The sequence below is a fragment of the Homo sapiens genome, chromosome 1 (assembly GCF_000001405.40).
Source record: "Homo sapiens chromosome 1, GRCh38.p14 Primary Assembly".
Lineage (NCBI taxonomy): Eukaryota > Metazoa > Chordata > Mammalia > Primates > Hominidae > Homo > Homo sapiens.
The window spans coordinates 173,438,364-173,456,973 of NC_000001.11; the positions used below are offsets into that span (position 1 = coordinate 173,438,364).

Here is an 18,610-nt window from a genome sequence, read left to right on the forward strand (position 1 = left end):
AATTTCCACTTCCACCAGCATCATATAAGACTGAATGGGTCCCCCTGAAAATTTGAGCTGATTAAAAAGTATCTCACTGTAGATTTAAAGTGTACTTCTTTGACCACATATATTTATCAGCTGATTGTATTTTTTTCTTTGTGAACTGTATCTTTTGCTTATTTTCTATACTTCGACTTACCAAGTAGAAGTATTTTTCTCAATAGGTCATTTGCCTCTTAATTTTATTATATTTTCTGATATATAGAATTAAAAAGCTTTCCATACTGGCAAATCTCTTCTTTGTGGTTTCTTCAGTGGCATTTATGCTTAGTGAGTCTTACAATTCAAAGATCATGTAATATTTGTGTATATTTTCTTCTATTTATTTATATGTTCTACTTGTTTTATATCTCATGCTTAAGGTCTGAAGAAAGCTGAAAGATCAGTCTTATCCAAGCTCATGTGTAACACAGACTGAGTAAAAGTCCAAGGTCATCTGCCTCCAAGTTCAGAGCTCTTTGCACAACTTTCATTTAGCATGTATCTTCATGTACCCACCATGTGGCAAATAAATGAGGCTTCAGAGAGTAACATAAAGCACAACCCTCATCTAAAGAAGTTAAATAATTGCACCTATAAAACAATCTGAGACTGCCCCACCCCATCAATACAAGCTGAGTGAGTGACAAGCTACGTGCAGAGAGAGAGGAGAGCTCTGTATGCCAACGGCCAGAAGCTGTCATGGAAGGTAGATCTGAGTTCTGCAGATCCAGTCCTGGAGGAGTAGATTGAGTTCACTGTATCCCAGCTGAGCATATCTCTTCAACTTTCACTGATGAAGACATTTCAGAACAAAGAGCTTCTTTCCTAATCAACCACACAATGTACATGCAAATGTCTTACATTGTTACAGTCAGCAGAACTCCTCGCTCCAATTATTTCATGATCAGTCTTGTTTCTTTCTTCTGTTCTGCTATTTACTACCTATAATGGTCAATTCCTAATGACTCAGCAGCACACAAAATGTTTCTTCTCCAGAATCCCCAACATCTCAAAATTAGACTCTGCCATAGTGAGCACAGCTACTGTCCTTTGGATACCACACTAGCAGCCCAGCCTCTGCCCACCTGCAGCAGGGGTTCAGGGGGCACCAGTGGCTCTGCCTTACTGACTCTTATCAGAGAGTGAATGCCCTGAGTGGCAGCCTGTGGCCTCAATCCTGCTATCCCTCACAGAAGTCAGGAGGAAAGGGACAATTGAAGGAAAGAAGAGAAGAAAGTTGTATGTGACAAGAAGCTAAATAACACCAAGTATTGCTATAGGTGCCAGTCAGTGACACCAGGGACACAGGCTGTCTAAGTCAACTGGAAAGGCCACTGAATCTTCTGCAGGCTTGCTTGTGACCAGAAGGCCGCATGATCCCTCCCCTCCTGCCACCACCAAACACAAAATTTCTAAACAATTCATCAAGCCTACCCTCCTCCAAAATTCAGAGGCTTGGGGGGAAGGTTGTTTGCTGCCAAAAGATCTAACAGAAGAAAGCTTACATGCTGATCAAGTTTTAATAACGTGGTTAACAAGAAATGTACACCATTTAGCAAGCACACAAAGACTGTGGGTAGGAACTACTGAACCCTGGAGTGTCTGGCTCCCAAGCCCATTTTCTGCCTACCTTTGGCATAGCTTCATAGTTACTACATTCAGAGAATCCCTTTCTACCCTTATTCTATTGAAAGGATGTGCTCTTCCCTTGCTTTTGGTCTAGGGCCTGGTTGGAGCTAACTAGGCTTGGCTGAGTCTGGGAAAGACCTTCTTCCGTTGCATGGACAAGCCCCAGAGAACATGCAGAACATCGACCTTTACACTGTCTGTCTTTCAGGCAGCCAGTGAAATCACTATGTGGGGATCTTCCATGACATATTTTGTTAATATGGGTTTCACTTTTTCCAAGAATAGTCCCTTGTTGCCACAATGTTGATTTACTTTATACAATGACAGTATGTATTAATTTCTAATTAAACCCATCCAGATTGTTTTAGCCTTTTCCCAATGGGGTGGGGGAGGGAAGAATAATATTAAAATAAGTTTTAAGAAGTAAAAAAGAAAAAAAAACCTACCCTCCTCCTGGGTGAGAAACACAGTTCTGTCCATGCTTAATTCCACCTTGCTTGAAGATGATGCTGTTCTTCCACACTATAGAAAACTATATTATCTGACAGCAGAAGCTTCAAACCAGAATATAACTTTCATTCTGGTGGATAACTCATCCCCTTTCTTATTCATATAAGAACCAAGCACTTTGGTCAAAGCAGTTAAACAGTAAATCAGTGAAGCCTCTTGTTGAATCATCTTTTCTCATTTTATTTGCTTGCATTGTGTGATCCTCATACCAGCTCCTACGTAGACTAAAAATAGGTTTATTTTTTAATAAGATGCAATATCTAGACATTATGAAATGACACATTCTCAATCTTTCCTAAAAATAATTAATGCAATCTGTAAGGTTTAAAATCCATCAAAGCAAAATACAGGCTATACATATTAATACAATCTAATATTAATCACTAAATTTCTAAATCTTTAGTTCTAAGTAATTTTGTCGCAAGGTGAAGATGTTTAAAATCCCAGTAGAAAATATTCTGATTGTCAAAAATAGACAATAAAGATGGAAATAAAAATAAAAGCTTAGAATATTATTGTTACTAAACCTCTGAGTGCAGTCAGAGCAGGGGTAACCTCCTCTCAGGGCCTGTGCCCAAGGAAACCAAAACAGTTCAACTCCAACCACCACACTCACCCCAAAGCCCAGCAGGCTCCTCATCTTCCATTCCACAGTCCACTTTTTTCTCCTATCCACCCTCTCCAAACTTTTCCTCCCTACTTGCTTCTTTTACTTCTCACCCTTTTCTTCTTTTTCATCCTTTTTCCCCTCCCTTCTCTTTGCTTTTCCTAGTTTCTACCTCAATCTCACTTCCTCTCCTTCCTTATAGCTCCCCTCCCTTACCATTGCTCAAGCCCTATAATCCCAGCACTTTGGGAGGCCAAGGTGGGCGGATTGCCTGAGCTCAAGAGTTTGAGACCAGCCTGGCCAACATGGTGAAATCCCATCTCCACTAAAAATACAAAAAATTAGCGAGGCATGATGGTGTGCACCTGTAGTCCCAGCTACTAGGGAGGCTGAAGCATGAGAATCACTTGAACCCGGGAGGTGGAGGTTGCACTGAGCCAAGATTGAGCCACTGCACTCCAGCCTGGGTGACAGAGCGAGACTCTGTCTCAAAAAAAAATTAAGTCCAAAGATCAGTTGTTATTACTTGTTTTCAGAAGTCTTAGTTTTCATTTTTAAAGTGGGCGCTTTAAACAGTGTCTGGTTTTCACTCTAAAAGGGAATTTATTTGTGTATAGGTGAACAAGAATGTGTGTTTGCATACTTGTGTTTCTGATGTTCCCCATGGTGTGGAGAGAGTAGTCACATTTTACCTCCACCCAAAGAACGTATGCTTAACTCTCCAGGGTGAAGGGCAAGGCAAAAACTAACACCCATTCCTCAGGACAGGACTGGTGAGGTCTTACCAGGTTTGCTGACGAAGGTCTCATCCATCTTTCACATGAGGTGGCTCCAAAAAGGTGGATCAAAATGCTGAAGTTCCCAACTGCTCCAAAGCAGGGCTGGAGAGTGAATTTTGAGTAACAGCCTGGTAAACTGAGGAATAAGAAGCCAATGTTGTGCTGGTAATGTTTAATAACTGGATCTGGGTTGGGAGGAGAGTGATGAAAAACCTGAGTTGTAGTATTTTCTGCTTTCTATGGTGTAAATGCTCTTACCCTGACCGATTTCAAGCTCCCCCTGTGAAATAACTGAATGCTGAGTTGGGAGTAAATGCACAGTAAGTCCACGTTCTATAGTATAGTATTCCCACCACACAGACCAGGACCGCCAGGATCAGACCTTCATTCAGGAAAAACAGGTCATGTCCTGATGGAGTTCAAGAGTATCCAAGTGATCCTGCTCCCCCAACTCCTCCCCAGAACCCCTTCAAAACAAAACCAAATGCAACACCTCTCCCACATACCTAAGAATTTCAATCATTTGCTTCTAAAACTTCTTTGTTGCCTTTAAAATGAAAATGTCCCTGAGAAATCTAATCCACTCGGGTTTTTTTGTTTGTTTGGTTTTCGGTTTTTGGTTTTTCGTTTTTGTTTTTGTTTTTTTTTTTTTTTTGAGACAGAGTCTCGCTTTGTCGTCCAGGCTGGAGTGCAGTGATGCAATCTCAACTCACTGCAACCTTCGCCTCCCTGGGTTCAAGTGATTCTCCTGCCTCAGCCTCCTGAGTAGCTGGGATTACAGGCACCCGCCACCATGCCTGGCTAATTTTTGTATTTTTAGTACAGACGGGGTTTCACCATGTTGGTCAGGCTGGTCTCGAACTCCTGAACTCGTGATCTGCTCGCCTCGGCCTCCCAAAGTTCTGGGATTACAGGTGTGAGCCACTGTGCCCGGCCTAATTTTTGTATTTTTAGTAGAGACGGAGTTTCACCACGTTGGCCTGGCTGGTCTCAAACTCCTGACCTCAGGTGATCCACCTGCCTCACCCTCCCAAAGTGCTGGGATTACAGATGTTAGCCACCATGCCAGGCCACTCAGTTTTACAACATTTATATTTCAGAATATGTAAGTCTAACAGATCCTTGCCAGACAGTGAGCCTTGAGATGGGCAGGAAAGAAGGTGAGCAACATGTGGGCACTATTAGGGTCCATTTTGCCTCTTCCCTTTGGGGCAGTACCGCTGGCCATGTATATCAAATTGAAAACAGATTAAATGTGGTTATGCAGAAAAGATGAGAAAGAATAAGTCAGAAACTTTTAAATGCCATCTAAGGATTCTATGGCTGAAAGTATGAGAAGCCAGAACAATGTTGTTTTTTAAAGGAGAAAAATACATTATTATTTTAATAATAAAATGAACTGCTAATAAGAAATTGATAATAGCTTGAAAACAACCTAGATAATGGTTAAATAAATTTTGATACTCACATACATGCATACAATGATTACAATGGAATCCTCATGCAGTCAATGGAATATAATGCAGCCATTTAAAATGATAAAATATTTCTATATTTGATATGACAAGATTTTCAAGATATATTATTAAGGGAAGAAATATTATACAATAGTAGATGTAAAAATGTCCTATTTTCGAAGAAAGATAGATGTAGATATAGATAGCGATTGATATAGATATAAATAGACACATATTTATACACACACACCCTCAGGCTCTTGACTCCAGGACCTCTCTCCCCCGTAAAGTCACCCCTAATTCTTTTTTGGAGTCTTCATGGGTTACTTCTAATAACTTGCTCATTGTTTTTCCTTCATGTTCCTCCACTTTGGTCCTCTCTTCACCCTTGCTCCACCAATATCATAGTTACTGGTAGAATGCTAGTTCCCAACACAAGGCACTGTTTTCTAGAACTCCCTGATGCTACAAAACTGATGCAGTGGAGTTCACTTCAGTGCTGACTGTGCTGCAGTCCTGCTATGTTCTGATTGAAATGTAGAGAAAGCCCCTTTCCAACTCTTGTTTTCTTTGTCATCTAAGCCATTAGCCTATAGTCTTTGTTGCCACAGAGGCCTAAGATTTAGTCTACAGAACAGGGTGAGCTCTTTGGGAAATCAGAAGAAAAGGGACAGGAAGACACAAAACACAACACTACCAAATTCTTTCCATTCCCCAATTTTGTTCACCAGGAGATTCCACTTCAAGCCTTGTCCAAATACCAAAATCGAAACCATTTATTTAAATCAACCTTTGCATACCAACACCCACTCCACCCGACCCCTTTCTCCAACACAGCAAGGCTGTGATCCCAGATCAGGCTCAACTATTCCCCACCCAAACCAACCAAGCAGCCTGCAAACACACACACAAACACACACACACGTATCTGTACACATACTCTGAACTAAAACCAGTATTTACTTCTAGATGGTAGGATGATGAGTGCTTTTTTTTCTTATTATTTACATTTTCTGTTTTTTTCGTACAAAAAGTTTGGATAATTTATAAAATGTTCTAATATAAATTTTAAATTTTCACTCAAGATCACACACATAACATTAAGTGCTTCTCTTTGGATAGTCAGGTTTTGGGAAATTCTGGGTTTTTTTTTTAATTTTTTGAAAACTTTCAAATTTTCTGTAATGATTATAATCCCTTTAAAGGAAAACATATACCTTCATTTTTCTAATACATAAAACTGACTCTTTCAGGGAAAAGAAAATTTAAAAGGGAAGGGACTGGTTCTTAGAGGTAATAACTGAACTTCTGGTAAAGGATAAGATCCTTTCAGAGAGAATAAGTATTGGTAGGCTGGCTGGTAGAAGAGAAAGGGGTGGGAGAAGAGAAGAATGAATCAGAGGCTAAATAAATGAACTGGGAAGGAAGAGGAAGATTGCTTATGAAGAGCATACAAAAGACAGATGACAGGAGTGGTTGCACACTGTCACCTGCATTCTAGAGGTAAACTAGGTTTGCTATGGTTAGCTTCAAAGTGAGGTTCTTGAATTGTATTCCTCCTAAACAGGCTTTACCCGCTCAGCCAGCAAATGAAAGCCACAAGTAAAAATACCTGAAGTGACAGATGTGGTCTTTAAAGGGATAGTCATGGTTTCTACTTCAAAGAATAAAAGGATAGGATTAGTGTCAGTCATTGTATCTTGAGAGAGGTAGTACAGATAGAAGTGAAAAAAGAATATAAAAGAAAGTACAGTCAAGAGTGAATTCAATAAAGCCTACCTCTTCTGCTGATTACAGCTAAAAACTCTGGACAAAATACAAAAAACAACTACCTAAGGACTCTGAAAGGTAAAGAAATGCAGTCAGATTATGAAGAGAAGTCAAAAACTGAAACAGCAATTTGCACAGGATTAAGTTTCTCATTTTATTTCCTCTTTCTTTTCACAGGCTTTGGCTGAAAGCAATCACACAAATGAGCTGCGATGGGGGTGCTGCAGACAGCTAATACTTTCAGATAAATCCCTTCTGTCTAGAAAGAAGGCTGGGATCCTTTAAGCTGAAGAACATAGAAAGGAATCCTTGCATTCTCATTCCCTCCCCCATTTTCACAGCTTGCCTAGCAGAGCCAGGGTGAAAAGTAGCATGGTCGGCTAAAATCCCAATAGAAATTCTGTTTTTCTAGTTAAACAAACAGAAAAGGGCTCCTGTGGTCCAGAGAGTACTGGAGTAAGTCAGTAGGTAAATTTTCTCTCTCTTTTTTCCATCTCCACATAGCACCCAAAATGGTCCTGGTCACAGGACCTGGTAGCAACACAGGCAGCCAAAACTCCAAAAGAACCCCGGTCTATTGAGCCAGAGGATGAGGAATAGAAAACATATAGGTAGGTGACTATGGGGAGTCCCGGAGATAAGAGATTAGAGAAATGGATCTCCTAACTCTGTGTATGACCTAGCACAGGCCCAGGCTTAACCCTGAGCTGTGCATGCATGGAACATACTCAAAGCTGCCAAGTAGAGGTTCCGAAAACTGAGATAACATTGGAAGTATCACTCATAAAGTACAGATAGTCTGAACAAAACCAGTGTGATTACCTACTCAAATAAGCAAACAATCTTCCAAATCTCTTGAGGATTTTAATGAAAAACATCCAAATTAAATACTCAGAATGTCCAGGATACAATCTAAAATCACTCAGCGTACAAAGAACCAATAAAAGTTTACTAATTTGCATGAAAAGTACAGTCAATAAATGCTACCACTGAGAAGACCAAGATGGTAGAATAATCAGGCACAGATTTTAAGGCAACTATCGTAACTATGCTCCACAAAGTAAAGATAAACACTCTTGAACAAAGGGAAAAAAACAGAAATTATTGGCAGAATAATAGAAACTATAAAAAAAAAGAACCATCTTACAAAATTAAGCATATTTTTAACATACAATCCAGCAATCACATCCCTTGGCATTTATTCAAATGAGTTAAAAACATATGTCCACACAAAAACCTGCACATGGATGTACATAGTGACTTTATTCATAACTGCCAAAACCTTGAAGCAGCCAAGACTGTCCTTCAGTAAGTGAATGAATAAATAAACTGTGTGTAATGGTTAATACTGAGTGTCAACTTGATTGAATTGAAGGATGCAAAGTATTGTTCCTGGGTGTGTCTGTGAGGGTGTTGCCAAAGAAGATTAACATTCGAGTCAGTGGACTGGGAGAGGCAGACCCCCCCTCAATCTGGGTGGGCACCATCTAATCAGCTGCCAGTACAGCTATAAAGGCATGCAGGAGAAGATGGAAAAGTAGACTTGCTCGGTCTTCTGGCCTTCATCTTTCTCCCCTGCTGGATGCTTCATGCCCTCAAACAATAAATTCCAAGTTCTTCAGCTTTTGGACTCTTGGACTTACACCAGTGTTTTGCCAAGGGCTCTCAGACCTTCAGCTGCAGACAAGGCTGCACTGTTGGCTTCCCTACTTTTGAGGTTTTGGGACTTGGACTGGCTTCCTTGCTCCTCAGCTTGTAGATAGCTTATTGAGTGACTTTGCCTTGTGATAATGTGAGTCAATACTCCCTAATAAACTCCCCTTCATATATACATCTATCCTATTAGTTCTGTCCCTCCACGGAGCCCTGACTAATACACTGTGGTATATCCATACAATGGAACATTATTCAGTTCTAAAAGGAATGAGCTATCAAGGCATGAAAATACAAGGAAGAAACTTAAATACATGTTATTAAGTTAAAGAAGCCAATCTGAAAGGATTATATATTGTATGATTCCTACTATGCGATATTCTGGAAAAGGCAAAAGTATAGAAACAGTAAAAAAGTCAGTGATTGCCAGAGTTTAGCAGGGAAGGAGAGATGAATATGCAGAATATAGACAATTTTTACAGCAGTGAAACTATTCTGTATGATACTATAATGGTGGCTATATGTCATTATAGATTTGTTCAAACCCACAGAATCTGCAACACCAAGAATAAACCCCTTATGTAAATTATGGACTTTGGGTGATAGTGAGGTTTCAGTATAGGTTCATCACCCGTAACAAAGGTACCACTCTGGTACCAGATGTTGACAGTGTGGGAGGTTGTGCATGTGTAGGGGTAGAGGGCATATGGGAACTCTCTGTACTTTTCACTCAATTTGTCTGTGAACCCACAACTGCTCTAAAAATAGTCTTTTTAAAGATTTTTTTAAAGAATGAAATGGAAATTTTAGAAGTGAAAAAAATACACTGTGTGAAGTTAAGAAATCAATTGATGGGTTCGACAGCAAAATACAGAAAAAAGAAAAAAAGAGTCAGCAAACATAGTGAGACATCAATAGAAAGGGAAAACAGAGGAATTAAAGACAGAGGAGACAACTAGAAAATCAATAATAAAATAAATTCAAACATATCAATAATTACATTAAATATAAATTATCTAAGCACACCAATTAAAACATCGAGTTTGTCAAATTTGATTAAAAATAAATAAGACCTAACTATCTACAAGAAACCTACTTTAAAAATAAAGACATAGATGGGAATAGAAGTAATAAGATGAAAGAAGAGATACCATACAAACACTAATCGAAAGAAAAAATGTAGTGGCTATATTAATATCAAAGTAGATTTCAAAGCAAGAAATACTACTAAAGATAAACAGAGATATTGCATAATGGGATAAGGTTCAATTAATCAAGAAAACATAACAATCTTAAATGTACACACCTATTAAGAGAAGTTCCAAAAACTTAAAACAGAAACAGAAATGAGAACTAGATAAATCCACAACCATAGTTGGAGACTTTGACTTTCCTCTCACAGTAATTGATAGAAGTAGACAGAAAATCAGTACCAACAGATGAGACCCAAACAACGTTATGTCCAGTTGACATAATTTACCTTTATAAAACACTCTACCCAACAAAGGTAGAAAACTTTTTTTTTCAAACACACATGGAATATTCACCATGCTAAACCATATTCTGGACCATAAAACAAACTTTCACAAATTTGGAATAACTGAAGTCATACAAAGAATCTTTTTCATGCGCGTCCATGTGAAGAGACCACCAAATAGGCTTTGTGTGAGCAATAAAGCTTTTAACCACCTGGGTGCAGGTGGGCTGAGTCCGAAAAGAGAGTCAGAGAAGGGAGATAGGGGTGGGGCCATTTTATAAGATTTGGGTAGGTAAAGGAAAATTACAGTCAAAGGAGGTTTGTTCTCTAGCGGATGGGAGTGGGGGTCACAAGGTGCTCAGTGGGGGAGCTTTTTGAGCCAGGATGAGCCAGGAAAAGGACTTTCACAAGGTAATGTCATCACTTAAGGCAAGGACTGGCCATTTACACTTCTTTTGTGGTGGAATGTCATCAGTTAAGGCGGGGCAGGGCATTTTCACTTCTTTTGTGATTCTTCAGTTACTTCAGGCCATCTGGGCGTATAAGTGCAAGTCACAGGGGATGCGATGGCTTGGCTTGGGCTCAGAGGCCTGACAATCTTCTTGAACCATAATGGAACTAAGTTAAAAATTAATAAAAGAAACATATCTAGTAAATCTCCAAATATTTGGAAACCAACCGATAAAGTTTGGATGTGTGTCTCCACCAAAATCTCATATTCAAATGTAATCCCCAATGTTAGAAGTGGGGCCTGGTGGGAGGTGATTGGCTCATGGGGGTGGATTTTTCATGAATCGCTTAGCATCATCCTCTTGGTACTGTCCTCACAATAGTGAGTGAGTTCTTGTGAGATCTGCTCATTTAAAAGTGTGTGGCACCTCCCCCTACTCCTGCTCCTGCTCTCACCATGTGGTGTTCCCACTCCTGGCTTCACCTGCCATGATTGTAAGCTTCCTGAGGCCTCTTCTGAAGCTGATGCCAGAGCTGTTTCCTGAACAGCCTACAGAACCATAAGTCAATTAAACCTCTTTTCTTTACAAATTACCCTGTCTCAGGTATTTCTCTTTTCTTCTTTCTTTCTTTTTTTTTTTTTCTTGTGTGTGACAGACAGTCTTGCTCTATTACCCAGGCTGGAGTGCAGTGGCACAATCTCAGCTCATTGCAACCTCCATCTTCCTGGCTCAAAGAATCCTCCCACCTTAGTCTCCAGAGTATCTGGGACTACAAGCATGCACCACCACACCCAGCTAATTTTTTAATTTTTTGTAGAGACGGGGTTTTGCCATGTTGCTGAGGCTAGTCTCAAGCATCTGCCTACTTCAGTCTCTCAAAGTGCTAGGATTACAGACATGAGCCACCGTGCCTGGCCTCAGGCATTTCTTTATAACAATGCAAGCACGGACTAATACACCAACATACTTCTGGATTACCCATGGGCCAAAAGGAAAGCCACAAAGGAATTTAGAAAAGTAAATGAAAGAGAAAATGCAACATATCAAAATTTGCAGAAGGCATTTAAAACGGTGATTTAGAGAAATTTATAAATGCTTATATTGGAAAAGAACAACATCTCAAATCAAGGATCTAAGCTTGCAAGTGACAAAACTAGAAAAAGAACAGAATAAACCCAAAGTAAGTAGAAGGAAGGAAAGTATTATTAGAAGACCAGAACTCAAATAAATTGGAAACAGAAAAACAATAGAGAAAATTAATGAAACTAAAAGTTGATTATTTTAAAAGTTCAGCACAATTGATAAACCTCTAGCCTGGATGACCAAGAAAAATAAGATGCAAATTAGAAACATCAGAAATGAGAGAAGAAACATCACTATTAACCCCACAGACCTTAAGAGGATAACAAGGGAACAGTACTATGAAAAGCTGTTTGTAAATTTGACAAAATGCACTAATTTTTAAAATTAAAAAAAATTACCAAATTCATTCAGGAAGAAAAAAGTTTATGTTAAAGCAATGATTTATTTCATATATATGTATGTATAACTTTTAAATTGAATTTGTAGTTTAAACCTTCCAAAAAGAATTCTCTAGGCCCCAGTGGTTTCACTGATGAAGTTTACCAAACATTGTGGAAGAAATAATAATTTTACATAATCTCTTCCAGATAAAGAAGAGGAAGGAACACTTCTCAATTGATTTTATGAGATTGGCATTACCCAATAAAACCAAAGACATTACAATTAAGAAAATGTCAACCCAATATCCTTTAAGAGCACAGACACAAAAATCTTATAAAATATTATCAAATTGAATCCAAAAATATATTTAAAAGATATTAATAATATGGCATGATCAAGTGGGGCTTATCCCCAGAATGCAAGGCTCACTCAACATTTGAAAAGCCATCAATGTAATTCACCACGTCAACAGTCTAAAAAAGAATAATCACATGAATATCTTATTGGATGAAGAAAAAGTTTAGAATAAATTCAGTAATCACTTCATGATAAAAAAAAAAAAAAAAAAAAAAAACTCCAGCAAACAAGAAAGAGTAGGGAACTTCCTTAAACTAATAAAAGGCATCTATGAAAAACCTACATCTAACTTTATACTTCATGATGAAAGACTAATGCTTTCCCCCTAAGACTGGGAAGAAAAAGTTGTCCTCTCTTGACACATTCGACAGTGTACTGAAAGTGCTAGCCAGTGTAATAAGGCAATAAAAAGAAGTAAAGGATATAAATATTGGAAGGGAAAAAGCAAAAATATATTTATTCATACATAGATAACATGTTCATGTAGAACATTTCATTGAATCTACAAAAAGCTTTTAAACTAGTAAGTGAATTAGCAAGGTGCCAGCATATGTACAAGTCAATATAAAAAAGTTAATTATATTCCGATATACCAGCAATGAATAATTGAAATCTGAATTTTTTTCAAAAATACCACTTATAATAGCACCAAAAATAAGGAAAATATTTAGTTATAAACAATAAAATATGTGCACAATCAATTTGCTGAATACAAAAGATTGATGAAAAAGTCAAAGAAGATATAAATAAATGTGGAGATACAGTATTCATGGATAAGGAAAATTCAATATTGTTAAAATGTAAATTCTCCTAATCTACAGAGTTAATGCAATTCCAATTGAAAATCCAAAGGATTTTTGTAGGTTTTTTTGTAGATTTAGACAATTAAAATTTTATATGGAAAACCAAAATAACCAGATTAGCCAAAAGAAAGAAAACAAAACATAACATTAGAGGTGTCATACTACCTGATTTCAAGACTTTATAGTAGTCAAGATCATGTGGGATTGGCAAAGGAAAAGATAAATCAATGAAATAGAATTGACAGTCCAGAAATAAACCTTTGTATTTATGGTCAATTGATTTCTTTAAAGATGTAAAAGGAATTCAGTGGAGAAATTATGGTATTTTTAACAAATGATACTGGAACATTTGGACATTCAGATGCACATAAATTCATACATACATATACACACAATACATGCATACATACACACATACATACATATGAAGAATAAGCCTAAACTATATGTCACACCTTATACAAAATGAACTCAAAATGGATCATAGACTATAAAGTCTAAAGCTAATAAACTTGTAGAAAAAGAAACTATCTTGCCCTTCCGTGTCTTTTAAGAAGTCTTTTCTTTTTTTACCCCCTTGAAAACCCTGTAATTGCCTCACCTGGAGCTGATGCCTCACAAAAGAGAGGATGCCCACTCTCCTCAAAATCTACCCCAAACACTTCTTATTGCCACTAGACCCATAACTAGAGTCCAATTTCAACATGTTCCAGCAGCCTGGAAGTGGCAGCAGGTCTCTGAGTATAACTGTGGCACTGAGCCCAGGTTCCCAGATTTGTCTCGTTCCACTTGCTCTGCAGAGTATGAGCCAATATAAACTAAAAGTGATGTCTTTACTAAACACCTGTTACGAAACAGCCTGAGGTGTAGATATCTCTCATCTCTGGCCTTGTTTTCAGCATTTTTCCTCCTTGGATCAACAGTTTCTGATACCAGGTTAGGTTACAAGGCTGGAATAAAAAAACAAACCCCAGCTTGGAAAGGAAGGTGAATAAGGTAGTCACTCTTACTTGTTTGTTCTCACAGAATTTGTCCACCTGACTATTGAAATACCCAGTCTAGCTTCTTAGTTTTTATTCATGGCTGTTGGTATTTATTAAGTAAGCATTAACAGACTTATTGGGCAAGTAAAACATAATGTGCTAGGCAGCCACAAGAAAATACAAAGCCAGAGTCCCCAACCCTCAAGAGTTCATTCTAGACTAATCGTAAATACATGGCTTTATGTTTTCAGATTATGCTTAATGGAGCCACTCCGAACCATTTTCTTCTGGGTGGCACACCTCTGCGTAACGAAATTTTCCAGACTTCATATGGGCAAGGTAGCTAGGCAGAGAGAATGACCTAAAACTAAAATTGTTTCAGAGAGAAGTAGGAATTGTACTAATTAATGCTGGAGCAAGACAAAGATAGACTTCGAAGGGGCAGATGGCTACAGCTTAGTGTCTAACATTATGGAATTGATCTCGGTAGGGCACCTAGCATTGCTTCTACTACTCCCATGCCTCTAACTGTCCCATAAGCAGGTGCTGTTAGTGGCAAAGGCAAAATGCAGGAGTGCAGCCCACCATGGCTATAAGAAGTACTCAAAATCCATATCTTCCTGCTTTGGGATAGCTGAATCTCAATAGACAACAATTATTTTTGTAACACACTTAAATAATGTAAGAGAAAAAATAGTAAAGAAGAAATGTTTAGAGAAAATGGAATGACAAATGAGCAAATATAGGAAAAGAAGTCAGGGAAAAGAACATCACACTATAAACTCATCAATGCTTTATACCAGCACCTTGCACAAAGTTTAACTTTGTAAATTGTCTTAAATATTAAATACCTAACTTTATATAAAAAGGCAACACCAATATCATCTCTTCTCAGCGCCTCCAAACAAAATTATGTACTTTGTTTTTTCTAATTAAATTTTTTTTTTTTGAGACAGAGTCTCACTCTTGTCACCCAGGCTGGAGTGCAATGGCACAATCTCGGCTCACTACAACCTCCACCTCCAGGGTTCAAGCGATTCTCCCGCCTCAGCCTCTCAAGTAGCTGGGATTACAGGTGCCCACCACCATGCCCAGCTACTTTTTGTATTTTTTTTTAATAGGGATGAGGTTTCACCATGTTGGCCAGGCTGGTCTCAAACTCCTGACCTCAGGTGATCCACCCACCTCAGCCGCCCGAAGTGCTGAGATGACAGGCATAAGCCACTGTGCCTGGCCAGAATTATGTACTTTCAATTGTTTATCCTCCACTAGAGATGCTTCTCTGTGAATTAGTTACACATCTTTATGAGTAACTACCTTTATCACCTACCTTTATGATCAGGTTGTTGATCTGAGAGATGGGACTATGGAACAGAGGAAAATTAACAGGTGCCCATTAGGCCTCAAGCCACAGTTGAGTTTTCAGTGGGATTGTACTCTCAGCTAATGAGATGGAAATGAAAGCTGAGTGCTTACTGACAAGAACTGACTTCATACCTAAGTGGGCACACAAAAACCCCAGAGGTGTAAGAGTAAATTCTGGGCTTCTAATCTGCCAATCAAAACTTCACAAAGGGTTGTGATTGTTAATTGTAAAATAAACCTATCTGCCCATGGGGACTCTTGGGAAACAGCGTTACTGACTATATAACACATGTAAATACTCTGTTTATATACTTTAATTGTCTAGCCCTCTGTAAAATGAAACAATTTAGTTTAGGGACACTTGAGCTCAGTATCTAAAGACTAGGACAAGCCCACATTCCTTCTCCTTGGAAGAGAGATCTTCTTTTTCAACAGCTAAAATGCAGCCATTTGCTAAAAATGACTCAGCACTCAGAAAGCTCAGGAGAACAAATCTCAGAGAAAGGGGCTGTCCCTGCCAGACACCCCATTTCTCCCACCCAAGATTTCTATGCCATGTATCACCCATACAGCCAGAAAGCTAGAAGTATATTTATTTTATAAGTGACAAAGCAAGGAAACAATGCTGAGAGGTCCAGAATTGAACAATAATCACCATAGATATGTTTCTTTGGGGAGAATTCTTCTATGTAAGAGCCTTAAAATTACCTCTCAAATTTACTTTTTGAAACCATGGTGTTGAAAGGGACTGCTTGAGAATCTGGAACCCGGTGTTTGGTGAGGTTATCTTGGCCCATACTTCCTCTGCATAGCAAACAGTGACTCTTTGGAATAAGGGGCAAACTTGGGACTCAGGGCCAGAGTTATATTCACAGACTGGCTGCCACTTCCACACCACTGGAATATGATGACAATTGACCCTAGTTATGGGTCTAGCAGCAGTAACGGGTGTTTCAGGTAGGCTCCGAGGAGAGTGAGCATCCTCTTGTTTGTGAAGTATTTGCTCCAGGAGAGGCAATTACAGGGTTTTTGAGGGGAGAAAAAAATTCTGCAGATACACAAGAGCAAGATACTCCCACTGGCAAGGGAGACTCAGAGCAACTCAGGGGTTCAAGATTCTCACTCTCACTTGAGACCAACCATATGTGCCCATTTCAAGTTTTGGGGTCTCCTTCCCAATCAATGACCTAACTTTCACATGAGAAACTTGGCATTAATTTCCCAAGAAAATTACTGATGTTGTAGTTCTGCAACCTGTAAAATTAAATTTTGTGTTTAATTTTTAACAATACCAACCCTGTGGCTACAAGACATAAAAGATCCTGTTAGGGCTGCCATGGAAGTCCTCTAGTTCTCAGACCGAGAACTAAACCAAGAGCTTAAGGACCTGAGCTTTTCATCTTCTGTCTGTAAGCACTCCACTACACTCAGAAATATCCATCCTATGCTACAGTCCTTGCAGTGATCACTACTGCCGTTAAGAGTCCAGTGTCCGGTCAAGAGACAGAAACCACACAGTAATTCAAATAAAGAAAGTATAATCATGAAGAACTGTTAACTTGGTAAAAAGGTGGTTAACCACTAAAAAGGATAAAAGAGAATTGTATGGTGTAATAGAGGTGGCAACCTCAGACTACAGCTATCACTCTTAAGATGAAAGGAAAGGTAAACAAGGAGGAAACTTAGAAAGAGAGAAAGGACTCCAGCAGACTAACATTTGGGCCTCTAAGGAGATGGTTCAGCTGGTGCAGAAACATGTCACCCACTGCTGGGGTGAAGAAGAAACCTCCGGGGGACATTCACTTGCTGGAACCACAGGAACAATTCACCACCACAAGGAATACTGCCGGGGCCAGGTATGTGCTGACCCATTCACTGTCATGTGGAGAAGGCAAAAATAACAGGAGAAGATAAATCTCTTTTTCCTTCTCCAACTTTGAGAATCCCTTCAGCACTCCCTTAGCCCCTAATTGGCTGAACCTAATATAAAGCCAGATATCTGAGAAAAAAATGTAGTTTGCAGTGTACATCTCCAGTATCGTGAAGTAGGACAAAGAAAGGTAGTTTGGAACTAAGAGGAAATAAATTAATAATAAGCATACTTGAATATAGAGGCTAGGAGTAAAGATGGGGAAAGGCGAACAGTTACAATATATGCTTTGGAGATAGAATCGCTTGGACTTAGTGTTAAGGCTCCTGTGGGAGGGGAGTAAAAGGAGGAATCAGGATGATCCTTCTAAAGAGAAAGGGAAAATAGTATATTCATTTGTGGATGGAATGAGTTTGTTGTGGTTAGAAAGAAAGAGAATTAAGAATTAAATTTTGAATATATATCAAATGTCTGTGACATATTCAGATCAAGGTGTCAAATTGGCAGATAGATGGCTATACAAATGTTGAGCTTGTCTGAAGATAAAAATTAGCATCAACAGCATATATATGTTATTTAAGGGCGCTGGACTAGATATCATCTCCAGAGAAACTACAGATAGAGAAAAGAGCCAGAGAACTTCCTGAGACACACCAACATTCAGAAGTAAGAGAAGAGGTGAAACAGAGAGAGTAGCCAGTGAGAGGCAAACAAACAAACAAAAAAAAAAAATAGGAGAGTTTGGTGTAACGGAAGCAGAGAAAGAAGTGTTTCCAAAAAAGTAATCAACTCTGTCAAATGCATTGAAATTGAAGAAAAGCTTCCATTGGATTTTCTTTTTTTTTTTTTTTTCCCAGTCAGGTTCTCACTCCGTTGCCCAGGCTGGAGTGCAGTGATGTGATCTCAGCTCACTGCAGCCTCAACCTCCCAGGCTCAAGTAATCCTCCCACCTCAGCCTCCCCAGTAGCTGTGTCTACAGGTGCACACCACCACGCCTGGCTAATTTTTTGTATTTTTTTTTTTTTGTAGAGATGGGATTTTGCCATGCTGCCCAGGTGCTGGTCCCAAACTCCTGGGCTGAAGTGATCCACCTACCTTGGCCTCCCAAAGTGTTGGCATTACAGGCATGAGCCACCACACCCAGCCTGGATTTAACAAGATGTATTTCAATGTATGAAGGAAGAGAAAGAAAGAAACATGAACAGAGAAATAAGTGGTAGGAGAAGGAAACGTTGGGTCAAACTAGAAGTTTTAAACCTGAAAAAATATGAAAACTAAGTTGTCTAATATAACAGCCACTAGCCACAGGTGGCTGCTGAGGACTTGAAATGTGGCCAGTATACCATATGTAGAAAGCTGAAACTGGATCCCTTCCTTACACCTTATACAAAAATTAACTCAAGATGGATT

General features: G+C 38.9%; 1 protein-coding gene and 2 long non-coding RNA genes across 3 annotated transcripts in view, besides 4 other annotated features; all 3 read right to left on the reverse strand.

Annotated features, from left to right (window-relative positions):
* The window catches only part of TNFSF4 (TNF superfamily member 4), a 277,864-nt gene extending 265,494 nt beyond the window's left edge, over positions 1–12,370 (reverse strand). Inside the window, exons 1-2 of the mRNA XM_047429896.1 lie at positions 4,056–12,370; positions 3,556–3,685 (exon numbers count right to left, since the gene is read on the reverse strand). Of these exons, the coding sequence (XP_047285852.1) occupies positions 3,556–3,685; positions 4,056–4,072 (147 nt within the window). The 5' untranslated portion in view covers positions 4,073–12,370. The remainder of the gene's footprint in view (positions 1–3,555; positions 3,686–4,055) is intronic.
* The window catches only part of LOC100506023 (uncharacterized), a 242,096-nt gene that overhangs the window by 203,304 nt on the left and 20,182 nt on the right, over positions 1–18,610 (reverse strand). The gene's annotated exons all lie outside the window — the stretch shown is intronic.
* Positions 1–18,610, reverse strand: part of PRDX6-AS1 (PRDX6 antisense RNA 1) — a 43,574-nt gene that overhangs the window by 20,575 nt on the left and 4,389 nt on the right. The gene's annotated exons all lie outside the window — the stretch shown is intronic.
* Positions 6,522–6,741: an enhancer, noted in NCBI's record as "active region_2112". NCBI's record gives its function as "activates an Ori minimal core promoter by ATAC-STARR-seq in GM12878 lymphoblastoid cells {active_cell/tissue: GM12878}" and the evidence as "EXISTENCE:reporter gene assay evidence [ECO:0000049][PMID:35858748]".
* Positions 9,946–10,670: an enhancer, noted in NCBI's record as "OCT4-NANOG-H3K27ac hESC enhancer chr1:173417448-173418172 (GRCh37/hg19 assembly coordinates)". NCBI's record gives its function as "activates a minimal SCP1, AML or CMV promoter by ChIP-STARR-seq in naive H9 embryonic stem cells {active_cell/tissue: H9 hESC(naive)}" and the evidence as "EXISTENCE:reporter gene assay evidence [ECO:0000049][PMID:30033119]".
* Positions 9,946–10,881: a biological region, named in NCBI's record as "Sharpr-MPRA regulatory region 679".
* Positions 10,587–10,881: a silencer, noted in NCBI's record as "tiled region #679; HepG2 Repressive non-DNase unmatched - State 23:Low, and K562 Repressive non-DNase unmatched - State 23:Low". NCBI's record gives its function as "represses a minimal TATA promoter and a strong SV40 promoter by Sharpr-MPRA in HepG2 and K562 cells {active_cell/tissue: HepG2 | K562}" and the evidence as "EXISTENCE:reporter gene assay evidence [ECO:0000049][PMID:27701403]".